The 18,423-nt window shown below is 37.3% G+C and overlaps 1 long non-coding RNA gene across 1 annotated transcript in view; it reads left to right on the forward strand.

Annotated features, from left to right (window-relative positions):
* Window positions 1-18,423, forward strand: part of LOC101926953 (uncharacterized) — a 74,452-nt gene that overhangs the window by 18,323 nt on the left and 37,706 nt on the right. The window contains exon 3 of the long non-coding RNA NR_188507.1: window positions 4,775-4,856. This is a non-coding gene — a long non-coding RNA (uncharacterized LOC101926953). The remainder of the gene's footprint in view (window positions 1-4,774; window positions 4,857-18,423) is intronic.

Consider the following 18,423-nt stretch of genomic DNA (forward strand, 5'->3'; position numbering starts at 1 on the left):
CCATCCCTGAACATATTTAAAATAAACATGGCTAGAGAAGATTCTGAAAAGAGAGTTCTAGAAATATTTTGAATATGATAGCACAGTTGGAATACGAGCATATTGACTTAGGTAAGCTAATGTTTTTCATATACATTTTTTTTTTCCACGAGGCAGTGAATTGTAAGGTTGAATAACAATGGATTTGGAGCCAGACTCTTGGTTTAAATCCTTGTGTAGGAATTTACTAGCCATGCTGAAAAGTTATTTAACCCCTCTGGGGTTCAAAATTCTTATGTTAAACTGTAATAAGTATAAAATTCAACTTATAAGGTTATTGGAAAACAGAAAATAATTTTATCTATGTAAAATAATTGCATAGAGTATGGCATGAGGGTAAAACAAAACAACAAGAGTGTGATCTATTTTTGGTACTGTTATTACTAAAGTTATTATTTAAAAGACACAGAAAATGGCTTGCAAAGGGTCAATCCTCAAAAGAGGTGAAGGGATCTATAACAAGGAGCTATTTCTTATGTCTCTAAAAAAATTTTTACTCTTCGCCACAGCCAATCTGCCTGTACTTAAACAGCCAAGAACCTCAAGAAAATCACCCGATGGAGACTCAGATGATAATACTGTGCAAGGGATTTAGTGGGGGAAAAAAACCTGTCTCTTCAGAAATAGCTATGACACTAAACACTGCTTCAGAGATACTTGATCTTTATTCTCCCTAGAAGCTTAAGATAAGTGACAGACAGGGCTCTGAACCTGCAGCTGGGCTTTAACATTGTCAGGATATGGTGATTTTGTGTTAATATGAGTATCTTTCAACAACTCAAGTGGAATAAATTTTTATTTATCCTACCTTCTGACTGCCAGTAGTTGGTGAACACAGAAAGAAGACCCTATGCAAAAATATCCCACTTCATGTTCTAGAGAACAAGCCCAAGGAAAGCAAATATATTATCAGATCATTATTACCAGACCTCACGCTAGTAAAACAGTGGCTATCATTTATTTTTTCAACTAAATATATGCCAGTCATCATCTATGATCTCCCTAATGTCATAATAATGGAAGGATTGTAGTAATTTAGAAAGGTGTGCAGGACAGAGCATGTCTTACACTGCTTTATATAAATGCACTATCCTTATATTTCTCATTTTGACATTGACTTGTGAAAAAGATTATCACCATTGTATTTGGGAACAACTCACTTACATGCTTCTTGTATATAATCCTAGGAGTGAGGCTGGATTAGCTTTGCCTGGGTACGTCAGCTTCCTTACTTATAAAAAGGACACGATTAGCTTCTTATCACATCCAGCGGCTCCCTCATCCTCCTTAAATGTTCTGCCACATATTTTGACCATCTTCCTCCTTCGGTTTATGCATTACTGCATTAACTTTGTTCTCTCGGTTCATGAATTACTATTTCTATCTTAATCTCAGTAATTACAGTTTTTCTTGCTTCAACGTGACCTTCCTCTGGGGTAAAACCACTGACTGCTCTGCACCCATTTATTGTTCTCTATGACAGGGCTCATATTTTTTTTCTTTGATCATATTTTCTTCTTAAGCAAATTACCTCCAAATCTTTCTCTCCAGCACTGGCTTTCCACAAGTCCTCCAAAACCTACTGGATAGCTCTTCCTTGATATCTTCACCTCAATTGTATTTATATCCATAACCACTTCAACTTGTTTCCCAAGATCAGCCCATTCCAGCAAATGAAGAAGCTTTTCCAAGTCCACTGGACTTGAAATTTAAGAAAAAAAACCTGTGATGCTTTTATCCACCTCAACCCAATATTTAAGTTATCTATTTTTTATTGATATATAATAGTTGTATATATTTTGGGGGTACATATTTTATTTTGATACATGTATATGACATACAATGATCAAATTAGGGTAATTGGATATCATTTCTTTCTCTTTCTTTTTAATGTCCTATGCCTTTTGCCACTTTCTTTATTTAATTATCTTTACTTGCGTTAATTTTATAGCTGCCTCTTCTATGTATCACTTCCACATTACCTACCTTAAATAGCACTGACATACTTCAAACATTTTTATTTTATTAAGTCACTCTCCTGAACAAGCATTTATAGCATTTTATTCTCGTCTTTCAGACTCAAGTCCAAAACTCTCATTCTTGCACTTTAGGGCCTTATTGAAATCCTGCAGTCACATTTCCCAAGGGTCCCTGAGAAGACCAACTTATCTCTGGTTAGTCTGCTCATTTTCCAAGCACATTCCTGCCCAAGCACCTTCACTCTGCCCTTTCTCCAACCTGGAATGCCTCATTCTTTTTCTATAGCAAACTAATATTCATCATGAATTTTCTATACCTCTATCAATTAAGGCTGCCTTCTCTTTTTCAAGAATTTCACAATTTTTTTACTAGTATTTAGGACCTAATAACTTCACATTAGCTATTAATTTTGTAGATATTATTCCTACAGCAATTCTTCATTCAAGAATGGAGCTAAGCCTTCATCTTATTATCATCTAAAGTGTCTAACTTTGAGCTGGATTTCTAGATGACACATCCGCCAGTTTACTTACAGATTAACATGCACTAAAATATTTTTATTTAAATATTTTTATTTTTAGTGATCCTTTCCATTTAAATGCATCTCTTACAGAGGGATGAGAGATAGTAGAGCAGGCCAGATAGTAAGTGAAAACATGACTGATGTGTGTCTCTGCTCAGGTCTCAATTGTTAATGGGTTGTTCTTTATTAATATGGAAGGACATAAGGAAACTATTTCAAATCATTAGGTATCAACTTACATGCTATTAAGTTGTGAAGTAATTGTGTACAGAAACATTTTAGAACATGTATATTTAGTACCTAACATAGAGACTGTTCAGATTGGGTTCAATATATTCAAGTCTTCATTGTTAGACAAATTACATCCCAGGTTCTAAAGAGACTTGTTCACATAATCTAATATTTGTGTCAGTATATTTGGAAAGGTAATGGAGAACAGAACAGTTGGTTAACAAAATATGAGAGCCAGGAAAACATCCCAGATGTCAAAAAGATAAAGTGGTAAATTTCCTAAATTTCAGGCCAAGAAGATAGGTAATTTATAGAAAAAAATCTAGAAAAAATATTAAATAGAAGATTTTTAGACATTTGCTTATTAATCTAGTTGACAAATATTCATTAATGTGTCCCTATGTTGCTGGATACGTGGTGGTGACTATGATACAAGATGTCCACTCCAATGGACCTCACACTACAGTGGGGTAACAGACAATTTAGAGAGGAATAAACTCTATTCAGGAAAAAAGACAATAAACACCAGGTGTCAATAGGTAAGTCAATAAAAGAATATCAAACCTCAGAAATCAGGCTCTCAAGTAGTAAAAGAGAACACTGCTACTACCAGTCCCCTGTGCCAGTGATTTTGCAGATAATTTAACTTTGCATCTTATGATGTCTTGAAAATTAAGATGGTAAAATGCAAACTTGGTTCTAATTACACTTGAAAAAAGGTTCTTCTCCATTCAACATCCAATGACTTGTAAATTTGCAGGTGATACAAAGCTGAAAACAATATCTAATATAGCGTAAGATAGGAATTTGACTCAAAATAATTTATACAGGTTGGAATACTGGGCTGAAACCAACAAGATGAAATGTAAAATGAGGCTAATATAAAATTGTATAATTGAAGGAAGACAAAGTTTTTAAAAAACTGGATGGAGAAAGCAATAATTACAAAGAAAAATAACATGATACATTAGACTTCATCAAAATTAGAAAGTATATTTACCAACACATCATTAAGAAAATGAATAAGCAAGCCATAGACTGGGAGAAAATACTCACATAGCATATAACTGACAAAGGACTGGTAACAAGGATACATAAAGCACATCTATTACTCAGTAAAAACATTGAGACTTATCTGAAAATATGTAGGAAAATGTATCAGAAATTGATGCGTGAATAAAAATATGGCTAGATAAAGAGACGATAAAGTAATTTAACATTTTGCAAAATGCTAATTATAGAATTAAGGTGATGAGCATATGGTGTTCACTGTACAGTTTTTTAAAGCTTTTTAGTATGTTGGAAATTTTCATAAAAATGTTGAGAAAAAGAATCATAACTGTATGAGTTGTTCTAGGAATTCTATTTAGCTTATCTAATACAAACTTTAAGTGTAGAAAAAAGCAGTTTACAAAACTGTATAATTCTGTGTGTGTGTGTGTGTGTGTGTGTGCATGTGTGTGTGTGTGTGTGTCCTGCAGATATAATGGAATGATGTGCACAAAACTTTTGGAGTGGGCAGAGAGAGAGGGAGAGAGGAAGTAATTTTTTTTCATATTTGTACTTTCTGGTTGTGCTACAATGAACGTGCATTGTTTGTGTATTTTCAAAATAGTATTCATTTTTGTAATAAAAATGTCCTATATTTGATCTTTTTAAAAAGAGACTAAATATACAGAATCTATCTGTTTATTCATTAGAGTAATGCTAGGAACAATACACAAGTACAAAAAGAAGGAAGAATTGCTTGGCCTTGGTGACTGGCTATAGGAGACTAAATAGATGAACAAATCATAAATAAAAAAGAGAATTGCAATGTCAAGGTTGGGAAAGCAAAATATCTAGGGGACACTGCCTATGTTACCACTTACGCCTCTCTCATCACAATCCAGAATACTTTTTATTTTTTTAAATACGACAACCTCTTCCACGTTTTAAGTATTCACACATACTTTCCTCCTGCCTAATATATGTTTTCTCCTCTCTCTCACCAAATTTTAGTCATCTTTTGTGTCCAGAGTTGGTTCCTTCTGGTGGGTTCGTGGTCTCGCTAACTTCAAGAATGGAGCCACGGACCTTCGCGGTAAGTGTTACAGTTAAAGATGGCACGGACCCAAAGAGTGAGCAGCAGCAAGATTTATTGTGAAGAGTGAAAGAACAAAGCTTCCATAGCGTGGAAGGGGACCCGAGTGGGTTGCTGCTGCTGGCTAGGGTGGCCAACTTTTATTCCCTTATTTGTCACCTCCCATGTTCCGTTTTTGTCCTATCAGAGTGTCCTTTTTTCAATCCTCCCTGCAACTGGCTACTTTTAGGATCCTGCTGATTGGTCCATTTTACAGAGTGCTGGGTGCATTTTACAATCCCCTTGCTAGCCACAGAGTGCTAATTGGAGCGTTTTACAATCCTACCTACAGAGTGCTAGTTGGTGTGTTTTACAATCCTCTTGTAAGACAGAAAAGTTCTCCAAGTCTCCACTCCACCCAGGAGGTCCAGCTGGCTTCACCTCTCACTTTCAGATCTCATTTCCCCACAGAAGAATTCCATAACTTCCCAAACTAAATTACAGATCCCTGTCACACCTTCTCATAGCACATTACGTTTTAGTAGCATTTATGGTAACTAGTAACTGCACATTTATTTTATGATAATTTGTTTATCATCAATACTCTCTGCTAGAATGGGTACTTGCTGGTCATTGTACCATGAGTGAACAGAATAGTGTCTGGCACATTACAGGGATTCAATAAATACTATTGAATAAGTAAAGTTACTGCACTAGTTTCAGATCTGTTACATTTACAGCAACAGAAGAATGCCAAGATGGTAATGTTTAGCAAGACTCTGCACACCTGTACCTGCAGACAGTAAGAACAAACGGAATTAGAAGTACAGTTTTGAAATGAAATAGTAAGAAGGTATTTGGTGACATAAGAATGAATGAGTCCTGCAAAGGAAGATACAAAGAAAGAAAAGGGCAGATAACTGAGTATCAAGCCTATCAAGTTAATTTTTAAATCATTTCCCTTTACCTTCTTTTATCTTATTTTGTTTGAGTCTTTCTATCCTGTTCTTGTACTGGAAACAAGATGTCAGCTTAACTAGCTCTAAATTAACTGCAGCCTTAAGCATGTGAAGTGATGATAGTCTCCAGGACAAGCTTGCTGTTTCAAATCTTGGCAGTCTAGACTTGGCTTCTAGCTTCTCTACTTTTCTGCATGGCTGGGAAAGATAGACTGCAAATTTAGGAGCAGATTCTTCTATAGCACTGTTCCAATATCAAAGAAATGCCAGGAACTCACAGGGTTTCCTTCTTTCACAGCCAATAGATTAATTATTCTGTTTACGATTTATTCAGTAAGTATTTATTAAATGCCTACTATGGACCTAATACTAGGCTATATAATAAATGTTTCTGCTCTAATGGAGCTCATGATCGGGTAAGGCAAGAGACAACACATATATAACAAACAAACATTCAATGACCAATTTGAAGATGCCGTAAAGGGAAGCAGACGGGGATTGGACAGTGCAACAAAGAAAACAAGATATGGGGTAGTCATGTTGGCTCCTATGAGAAGATAACACTTAAGCCAAAACCTTAAAAGATAGCAGAGTCAGCCTGTGAAGAGAGATGAAAAGAATTTCAGGTAGAGGCAGCAGCAAAGATCTTTGAGGACCTATAGGCCTCCCAGTAAACCTGGAGCAGAATGAATAAGAGGAAGAGCTAGATTTGCCAGGGAGGAAGGGTCCCATCATGCAGAGCTTCATGGCTGTGGGGAGGACTTTGGATGTTAGAAGGTTTATTAAAAAAACCACTGATATTTAAGCACAGGTGTAGCATGATTCCAGGGAGCAACCTCAAATAACGCTAATACTAGACTTCCAAATTGACAGTCCCTACATTTTTTTTGCTGGTTGGTTCATTTTCATTTTGTTTTGTTTTGTTTTTATTAATTAGGCACTCTGAGTCTGCTGCAGGCTTGTGCCTCACATGTACACAAAGCCACGGTCTTAATTACAAGTTAGATAACAAATCAAACAAATCTTTAAAGGGAAAAAAAGGTTAACAAAATTTGAACCATGTAGTCATGATAAAATAAAAAATAACATGTCAGCACTTAGCAGTTGTTTTGAAGAGACATTTTAAAGAAAATATAAACTGTGACTTATGGCCACTGATGGCAGAAAGGCTACAGACTTTGTATGTGCAGGGTGGGAGAGACATAAGATATTACCTTGGTTTTGACATATTACCAACAGAAAATGCTATTAAATACCAGAATGGGTTTCCTAGAGCTTCTTCCTGAGGGTTTTAGAAATTCAATACTCATTTGTCTGAAATAATTGTGGCGTTTCCATGTCTAAAGTAAAAGAGATGGACTGGATTTTTTTCAAGATTTTCCTGAGATGAAAAAGCCGTGAGTCCCCAAGAGTCTCTCATAAATAACAAACTGTACAGTAAAGAGAGATCAGAATTTGGCAATTAGTAGGTGTTCAATAGATGTTAACTGGTTTCTTAGTCATGAGTAAAATGATGAATATAGTATTTCTGGGGAGAGAAATATTGTCTGCTAATATCTGATAATGGTGAGAATCAGATATTTAACAATTACCATCATACATAAGAAACATTCCAGGTAATACTGTGAAACATTCTCAGCAGCCGTGAGTCAGTCAAATGGAAGTTAATGTGTTTTGAAGAACACATCACAGGTGAGAGATGTGGGCATCAGAGTCAGACGAAGCAGCAGTTAGCAGGAGGCGGCCAGTATGAGAGAAGGCCAGCCACAATATGGAAGCAATTGATTGCTAAGGGTAAGTCCCGCCAAGTCAATGGTGAAAGCCATGAAAAAGCCAGTGGAAGTCGAAGATGGAGGCCACGGTGGCAGAAGCCCCCTTGGAAGGAATGTGCCACTAACACAGACAATAAATTGCCAGTCAAATGGGGGATGGCTCAATGGAAAACATCTAAATCAGGGCAGGCCAGCCCACTGGCAGCAAGGCAAGCCAGTCAATGGGGTAGTCACAGTGGATCCAAAGGCAGAATCAGTACATCCAGGGGAACATGAGATGGGCAATATCTGCGGCATGGGTTTAACTGAAGCTCACCAACTGGCAAGGGCAATGCATTTGGGTAGAACAGGAGAGCAGAGGACAGAAGCCAAGAGATGTGATTTGAGCTGTGCCAAGTGAGCAGAATGGTCTCTGAGGAAATATCAGCTTCCTACCAACTAGGAGGCTTCTGGCAGTGTGAGAGCTGCACGCAAACTGCCAAGTGTGGCAGGGCAAGGATCATGGCAGCAGGCATGTAGGATGCACAGAGGGAACAGCTAAGCTACTACATTGAGTGCCAACGTACTCCACTGGCATCCTGCAGCCCAATATCCAAGCACAGCCTGAAAAACTGGAAGAGCACTGAATGAGGAGGCAGAAGTTGAGGTTTAAACTCTAGTTCTGCACTAACTATACCACCTTATATTAAAACTCTGCCTTGCTGTTGATAGTTCGTTCTTTCTCATCACCCAGAAACTGCAAGTCTCCCTCTCCAAACCAAATTCCTGAGACTGGAGCCCTGACCTGAGACTGGAGGTGATCCAAATGCTGATAGTCATCCTTATTGCCACTATCCCACTCTGCATTTCCTGGTTGGATAAACATCTAAGAAAATGCTGGTTTTGTCTTCATCCATGCATACTTCTCCATCTGCTTTCCAGTCTATGCTCTCACATACTGTGTCTGAAAGCCTGAACTAGGCCAGGCGCATTGGCTCATGCCTGTAGTCCTAGCATTTTGGGAAGCTGAGGCAGGTGGATCACCTGAGGTCAGGAGTTCCAGATCAGCCTGGCCAACATGGTGAAACCCCATCTCTACTAAAAATACAAAAAAATTAGCCATGTGTGGTGGTTCACACCAGTAATCCCAGCTACAAGGGAAGCTGAGGCAGGAGAATTACTTGAACCCAGGAGGTGGAGGTTGCAGTGAGCCAAGATCGCACCACTGTACTCCAGCCTGGGTGACAGAAGAGACTCCGCCTCAAAAAAGTAAAATAAAATGAAATGAAAGCCTGGACTACTCTCCATCACCTGCAGCCAGAATATCCTTTGCCAGAACTTGTATGACTTCCATGAGCACAAGCAGCTCTGGGTTGTGGTTATTCCAATTTGGTCCATTTATTGAATGAAAGCTATCTGTGCCATAGGCACAAGATACAGTTCCTTTCAAATTCTCCACTCAAACTTCTTTACCAGGAAACCTAAAACTAAAACTAAGCATAAGCAAAACAGTAGTTGCAAAAGTAAAATTGTTTCCCATTATCTGGGCATATTATAGTTTCAAATGTCCATTTGCCCTTTTGAGGCCAAATGCTATCAGGACAGAGGTCACCTTTTCCTTTAAATTCGTGATAATGTAAGAAATACTCATGATAAGATGATTATCCTTAGAATACTCACAGCAAAGCTGAAACTACTCTTGATGAATACAGTTATACGTGATAACCTAAGGAAGAACTCTCTAGAGTAACAACAATCTCACTCCTACAGCCACTAGAGGAAGTATCTCCTATAATTCTCCCAAGGCAACCTCTTCTCGTCTCCCCTCTGCCTTTCTTTCCTCTTTTCCTCTTTTTTTCTCATCCTCTTTTTCTCTCTCTTTCCTGTACAAAATACTCTGTTCATATGATGCATAAATTGTGTTTCATTCAAGATTGTAGCTGGAGAAGAAATTATTTTTGTATTCAGTGCCTGTCTATGTCCCCTCTGCTTCATCTGTCAATATTGCCAGAACATTAGAGCTAGAGGCTGTATAGGTCTTTGGCAGAGCAATTCTCTGAGGAACCTAGGGAAACTCTAGAATAAAAATGCAATACAATGTGGCCAAATTTACAAATGGATACCCATGTGGGAACATTGTTTATGAAATCTTAACATTCAATTGATCCAAACCAGTGAAGGCTGTCCTAACGCCGTGCAAAATTAGTGGATCAGTGTATTATAATCTCGTTTATGTCCCTTGATTAGATAGATAAGCTACCATGAATCAGACCAACCACTATTTAAACATTATCTGGTAGGGCAACAGTCATATGGACAAATTTCAGATATCAAGAACAGAAAGGGAAGTGCCACAGTGAAAACAGAAATGGACTGTGAGGAGTTGAGAAGCTTGCAATCTAGAACACCAAAGACATTTGATCACACTTTTCATCTTTTATCCTCCACACTACTTAGCTCTTATGAGCTATCAAAACCATTATTTAAGAGACAGAGCTTCAGGATAGCATTCTTAGCATTCTTAAGTTCTGTGCTGACATCTCTGAGGACTTAGGTAACACGAATTACTGTTGGGTTTGCTTCATGATGGTACTAACAACAAACTACAAACCATGAGGCAGGATACTGAGTTTCTAAAAGATTTATTTAAAGATTCATTTGAATACTTTCCATTACTAATATTATTGTATTAGTCTGTTCTCATGCTGCCAATAAAGACATACCTGAGACTGAGTAATTTATAAAGGAAAGATGTTTAATGGATTCACAGTTCCACATGGCTAGGGAAGCCTCACAATCATGGAAGAAAGCAAAGGAGAAGCAAAGGCAAGTTTTACATGGCAGCAGGTAAGAGAGCTTGTGAAGGGGGAACTCCCATTTATAAAACCATCAGATCTCATGAGACTTATTCACTACCACGAGAACAGTATGGGGGAACTTCCCCCATGATTCAGTTATCTCCACCTGGCCCTGCCCTTGACATGTGGGGATTATTACAGTTCAAGGTGAGATTTGGGTGGGGACACAGCCAAATCATAGCAATCATGCATACTAAAATACTATTATTCTCTATCCCATCCTTGTGATTTCCCAAAACTGTGTCACAACTAATCTCTTATTCTAGGACCAGGCAGGGCCCTGCTTTTGTTCCGACTTTATTTCTAATACCAACTCATCCCAGCTCTATCTTAGAAAGTGTCTGACTGTTTACCCAGCACCCGAGCAAATAATAATGACAATAATTGCTTGACTATTGGGCTGTCCAGCACAAAATTTGAGGTGACAGTATCAGGAAGCCCCAGGACTTGTCTTTTCTTTTGTACTGACTTGCAAGAGTCAAAATTGCACAGTGTAGCTTTGGCTACTGAGAATATTGGGGAGTGGACGGATGTTGATGTGGTTGAATGAACATGAGTGAAGAAGTAAAAGGACTCTGAAAGTAATTAATTGAAGGAAATAATATGGGCACCTGCTATGAAAAAGTGAAATATATATGATGTATTTACATACACGCATTTTATTTTAAGACAGTATCCTGCTTAAACTCTTTCATGACTTTCATCTCTAAAACATTAAGTCAATATTCTTTAAAAAATTTTTTTCTGATTAGGCTTTCCATGATCTGGATCCAGCTATCTACCCAGAGTTAAGAGTGTTCTCATACCTCCCTCATGCTTGAGCCCTACACATGTCTGCTCTGGCCATATTCATCTTCATATTGTTCCTCAAATATGCCATGATTTCTTCTCTCTGGGCATTTCTCTCTGGAATATCTGCCCAAAGCTTCTCCTTCTATTGACTACCTCCTGCTCATACTTTTAAGTTCTACTTAAAGGCCATTTCCCTGATCTCCCTGTATACTGCAATATTTTCTATCTGCTCACTACCCCCTTAGTGCTTCTCCATCATAGCACTAATAGCAGTTGCCAGATCAATGCCTATCCCCTTCTGGGGAATAAAGGAAAGATGATGTCTGTTCTATCGACCTCTGTGCCAGCCTGCTATTTTGAAATATTCTTATTAGAGAATACAGGCAGTCCTCCCATCCATGCTTTGAATGACTCAAAGAAAATTCCCATTGTCTGTGGTCAGTAAAAACAATCTAGTTTAGAAAAGTAGGATTTGGGCCACCATGACTGTTGGAGCAGCCAGCAAGTTTGTGTCTACAGAGCTTGATATAGACAGACCTGTTTCTGTCCATTCCTCTTGGGATTTGAGTAAAGGTTCTATATTGCTTGGACTTTTGAAACTAAAGAAACTCTATAGTCAGAAAGTTGAGAAACCAGTGCAGAAATAATCAGATTATTATTTAATCTTATCTTGAATAGAGAATAAAGGGCACTTTGTTAAAAATACACTTGTGATTGAATTCTGCCTCTCATTTCTGAATGTTTGTTCACTGTGATTAAAAATAACTAATTAATGAATTAGAGTGAGGAAAGAGAAAAGGGTATTCCCCATTCTAACTAATTTCTTAAAACAGCCTAGTATCTAACATAGTGTTTGGCACATAACAGGCTCAGTAAATATTGATTGATTGAATGAATGTTGAAATGTCATTGGAGAGTATGTCATACAGAATCAAAATTATCAAAAAAGTTAATATACATTTTTTTCTTCTATTATCCTTTTTACCCAGTTGGTACTGTCACATTATCAGAAAGGATAGAGATTATTCTGGTAATGCTTTTCTTCTTTAAATTTTTTTTAAGGCTGTATTATTTTCCACCACAAAGTCAACTGTGGCCATTCATGGTATACAAAACATATGTCTTTTGATTCATTTTTATTGCAAAATTCCAAAGATCATTTGATATAATAGGAGCTGATATGTGAGACTGATATGATTCCAAATGCTCTTATTGGCTCTGGAAAGTAGAAAAGAGAAACTAAAACGGAAGTGGCAATCATAGAATAGGCCTTAGCCCTAAAATATCTGAAAGTCCCTGCAGCAAAGGACATCTAAACAATACAGCATAATATAATGGAACACACACACACAGGATTAGGAAGGATTAGGGGAGACTCTGACACTGATTCTCAGAGTGCTTCTTTGGCTTAACTTAATCACCTGCAGAATTAAATCTATACAAATGCAGGTTGGTCTATTTGCAGGGAATGTTTCTTGTCTGTGGAACCTATTGCTATGGGGTCATAACCCTACTCAGAAACGCTTCTGAAACATTTCACCTCAGGACACACTAATCCCTGACATGTCCCACCCTCAGGGATATAGCAATCCTCACCCTGACACTATCCACAAAGAATCACTTTGCATTCTAATATCTATCTCATAACTCATTTGAAGACACCAAAGAGCTACAGGCCCTAAGTCTTCAGTTTGAGAGTGGAATACATTAGAGTGAAGTCTCTCTCCCACCGCCATAACCAGTCTCTTTGTTTTACATTCAGTCCATACAACGTTACCTTCAGTACAGCAGATTTACAGACATAGAAACCTAGGTTTAGCATATCACCATGCTTGGGATCCTTTCTTGTGAGTGTTGCTGCTCTGTGACATGGGATGTTCCACTCTTCAAGATCCTCTTCTTACCTGTGACAACTAGCATTATTTATAAAAGACCATTATGGTATGAAAGAATGAGCATATATTCAATAAGTTGATAGGCATTGCCACCTTCTGCTTCTAGGATCCAGAGAAGATTGCAAACAAATCAGTATCTTTGCCCCCACAACCCAAAACAGATTTCCTACAGCTTCTTGAGGGAGTGAAAGCTGCTTAGAGCAGCGTGTAAATTCATGGCAAGAAGCAATAAAGGTGAGTTTTATACATTCCCATTATTGCTTCTACGTCTTTGCAATAATGTTTATTGACATGTTTGAACGGAGCACAAGCTGCAGTTCGGTTCAACTGCCTGTGAAAATGGGACATTTGTCAAGAAACAAACCTCGCAGTTTTTAGTGGCTCTGACAGTGGGTATTAGAAAGGATATTGATGGGGAAAAAAGAGAGAATAGGCAGGCCTATGGGGAGAGTGTTAAGGAATATACTCAGCACAGATGCCTGCAGTGGAGGAAAAGGGGATAGCTGAGGACGTAAAATTGAACACTGACCACATTGAGTGACTGCCAGTTGCCTTGAAGCATGTGTGTTTCTGTGGGAAACATCAACAAAAGCTCCATTTGTCTCATGAGGAAGGCCTCTACAGTGATGCTTTCATGTGGGATTTGATTCCCACTTTGCTTCTTTCCCCCGCAACAGTCTATCTCCAATGATAACCCAGTTCTTAGAGTGTGTGTATCACTCTGTTCTTTAGGGTTCTCACAAACTAAAAACTGAGCACAACACCTACTTAGCATATAACCTGCTTTTAGTTATTAAATAAGTCACGCAGTCTTTCCTTGGGAACATACTTATTGGGAGTGTGAGGTATTGTGTTAGATGCTAGGGTTGTGCATAGACCTTTCCCATAAGGAATCTGCACTTTAGTACCAGCATATGCTGCATTCATTAATAAAACAGAGTAGCACACATGTACTGAGGAACAAGAATTTCTACAGTGCTGGAGTTATTTTTTTTCCCCTCACTGGTAACCTAAATGACCAGTAAAATGTTGGGGCCTAAGTAGGCCTTTAATAGGTACACACTGATAGCCCAAATGCAAATGTATTTCAAGTGCTCAAGGAGATAAAACGAAAGTTACTAACAGCCCTTTTCTTCTCCTTGTTCAGATCAGCACTTCCAAATCTCAGCCATTCGAGGAATAGCATCAGGGCCCTCTCTGCAGCCAAACTGCCAAAATTCTAAGACAGCTCTCTAAGCACATTGAGCCTGACCCTGGTGAATCAAATCAGCACCCTCTTTCTCCCAAAGCTCAGCAACACGTAAGACTGTTTTAACCAACAAGTTTAATTCAGGGGAGAGTTTTACTTTCTTAATATACAATATAAAAAAGAAAGGAGATAACAAGACGAATGGTAATTAGTTATCGACAATGGAAGACATTATGCCTATGATGGCATACTACAGGGACAAGATTGTTTTGTCCTAGAAATGTCATTCCTATCTATCAAAAAAGTCCAAGAGACGAGTTGTATCACAACAAATTGAAGCTGAGAGGAAACTCAACTCCAAGTTGGCATTAGTTTCTGCCATCCATGAGTTAACAAAATTCCAAAGTTATAATTTCACTTAAATTCTATAACATACTATTCCAGCTAAATTTTTATCTCTTCTCTTTCTCCAGCCTTTCTAAATGTGTAGCTTAGCATTTCATTTCAGACTTGAAAAAGCCTTGAGATTCTTTCCTATCTTTTCCTTCCCAGAGCAGACAAACTCTCAGTGTACAAGGGGGTGTAGGCTTAACAGAGTTGTTCATCATTATGTGGGCAGAAAGGCACTTATAAAGCATACTGTTTGATGATGACATCCAAGATCAAGTTTCACCAGTTTGTCATGGTCTGCAAAATGCTGCAGTGCTAATGAAATTCTAACCTGGTTTAGATTACTGCAACAGCACTACCTCTTGTTTCTCTTTACTTAGTACCCATCCCCTCCTTATAATGTACATTATAACTTCTATCTTGAGGCCATTTACATTTTGACTGTGGCTCAGAAAATAGAAATGAAATTTTTATTAATATATAGATGTCTCAACTAATGCTTACTTTGGAAGGCAGGTATATTGAGGTGTTGTGCATGTGTGTACGTATATGTGTGTCGGTGAGAATGAGAGAGTGAAAGCAAAAGGCAGCAAGTGAGTATGCATGTGTGTGAGTCTGTGAGGAAGAGAAAGAGAAAAACGAAAGAAAAAACAAAAGAGGAGTGGGTGGGGGAAAGAGGAATGGAGGGAATGGAGAGAGAGAAGGAGAATGAACATGTTGATCAGAAATTACCTGGCTCAGAAAAAGTAATTTACTGATAAATGATTATCCATTTAGAGGTAACCAGTGTCAGCAAAAGCGGCCTTAAATTAATCTATTTGCCAATCCTTTCAGATCTCTTCCACAGGATAGTAGAAGGCAAGTCGGCTCAGCCATGTCACAGAGTCTCTCATAAACGGTAATAAATTGCCGTAGATTTCATTTCACATTTCAGCAATTCTGGCCCTAATGTGATGAGCAGAAAAGGGTGGGGGTTGAGTGCCAACGTTGAAAAGGAACATTGAGATAGAAAACTACCTGTCCTCACCCTGCAGGGATGCCTTTCAGTCAGAACTCAAAAATTCAGGCAGCAAAGATTCATACAGGCAAAATTCATCAGTGATGACTACACTAGACTAGGAATCAGAAGTTATGGTTTTACCAGTTACTGGAAGAGATCCCTTGGGCAAGTCACCTAACTGAGGAAATAGTTACCTAGAAAGTTGTTGAAAACAATGGAATGAGATTTTATGTACGAATGCACACTGCAAAAAGTAAAGAATGTTATATAAATACAGATCTGTAAGTCAATAACTTGCCCATCATGTGCCAGTGGCTAAACAAATGCAACCGCTCTCAAAGTCCTTATGATGTAATGGGCATGTGAGAGAACTATAAACATTCTTTTAGGAAACATTTTGGTCACAGCTAGACTTGAAGCAAGTGTAAAGTGCTTCAGAAATGCAGAGAATATAGTTTTTGAGGCAAGGCAACATTATTATTGTGGCTCACTGACACATCATTAACATGTCAATCTCCTTCAGGAATTTGTTAAATCATTTGCACCTCAACATTGAAAACTTGTTTGCCTCTTGGCTTCCTTAATGAAAATAATGCAGTACCTGCAATTAATAATAAAAATAAATACTATAGTAAATTTAATGTCTGAGGCTATATATATTTCAAAATGTTATTACTCTAATAACTTGGTGTATGCATGTAATTGTAATTATTCTTTGGCACTTCCATGAACTCTCCTTTAGGGAACTGCTTTTAAAATATAGACTAATATTGCTCATTGGTTAAGTAGATCAAAGAGAGATGAAAAAGCATTAACTAACTCCCTTGATTTTTATATATATATATATATATATATATATATATATATATATATATACAATAAATATCCACATTATAATATTGCATATATTTATATTACTATTCTTTATTAGTAAATTTGCTTAAGCTTGAAAATACCTTAATATTTTTCATTCTTCTTGTATTGCATGATCTTACTGATTTGATTCCTCAAGAAGCAACACATGTTATTATTTCCATTTTATAAGATCAGGAAACCAAAGTTTGGGAGTACTCAACCTGGACACAGTTCCAAAGTCCAAGCCCTAGGACTCACGTTGCTTAATCCATTGATATCAATGTCTGTGGCTGGTATTTGCCCTTAGTATCATGGCTGAAGTAAAGCTATAATTTTAAAGCTCCTAGAACGGTATCTAAAATGCCTTTGATAGTTACTATGAGTGACTGAAGTTAAAAGATTTGGGTCTTGCAATAACTTTATTTAATGAAGGAATTACTGCTTTATACAATTATTATCACTAGAAAAGTCTGAAAAATTTTCAATAGACTGGAAAAAATATCTAAAGAATACCAAATTAATATATAATTAAAATTTAATTGTATATAAATTGATAAAATTAATTATATCTAAAATATAATTAAACTTTAAACACAACTATAAAATAATCTGGATTTAGGATATATATGTATTGTTTTGCTGGGGGTGGTACAAAATATAAAATAAAAATAAAATATTATAAAGAGGTTACTTATGAAGTGCCAAAATACAATGATATTTTCAATCATTCACCTGGTTTAAAATACATTTGAAATTTCATCTGGATATTTTGAATTTTGTATACATAGATAGAAAGATAGATAGACAGATAGATAGATATCCAATGTCTACCACATACAGCCTTTAGCACCTACATACACAGAAAACACAGGAAACAACTCTCATCCATATGCTTTACTATTTAACATATAATCAGACAAAAACTACACTTATATTGGGGCAAGCTGAGCAAAAAGACCACCTGGTGAAAAGTTAAGAGGGGGAATGTCCTCTGGGAGTCTAAAGAGCACAATACATTCTGCGCATCCACAGCCCTTTGTCATCTGCCTATTCTACATCTTAAGCAGTCTGGAGGCTTGACTGTAAGTATCTAATTTTGGTTATCATTCGCCACTTACATGGGATCTTCCATTACAGAACAACAAAGGACTTTTGACGTATTGACTGAAACTTAAACTTCTTATATGGTATATATCGTACTAAGAACAAATGTGACTTTGCTATACCATGGTTGACTCTTGGTAGTCTTCAAAATACATTTTAAATATATAGCATTTACATCACTTAAGGTCTGGTCCCATCCTTCCTCTTCAGCTCAAATTCTGCCACTCACCAATAAACTTGATGATTCCTGGAGCATGTACTCATACCTGCAATGCCTGACCACTCATGGCACTAGATAAAGCCTTAAATTGTAGAAAAAGCCTAAACAGAAAAAGCTTGGTACATTTTCAGACTGTTCACTTTTATCTAGTTACTAAGTTGACCAAAAAAAAAGTGATCTAAAAGTAATTGTCTTTTTCTTCTGTCTTTGCATACATATAGTTGGGACTCAAAAAAATGGAACTGAATGTGTTGCTTAAAATGATTTTGGGGATGATCAATTATACGCCCCCCACAACACACACACACCAAAAGAACCCAGATATTTTTGCAAGGCTGTATAAATGTATCTTTAAGTTAAGCCTCAAGCTATCCTGGAGGAAGTATGAGAAATGCTGGAAAGGGCTGAAAGAAGTGAGATCTCCTACACTTACTTTTCTAAGATAACCACGACACATCAGTATCTAACAGTCACTGACAAAGATGCATTGCTCCTTCTGGAAATATCACCTGGCGGTTAAAGAAAAAGCCAGGCACTTCATTCTACTCCATCATTTGGTTTACAGTATTTGGATT

Source organism: Homo sapiens, chromosome 3 (assembly GCF_000001405.40).
Source record: "Homo sapiens chromosome 3, GRCh38.p14 Primary Assembly".
Lineage (NCBI taxonomy): Eukaryota > Metazoa > Chordata > Mammalia > Primates > Hominidae > Homo > Homo sapiens.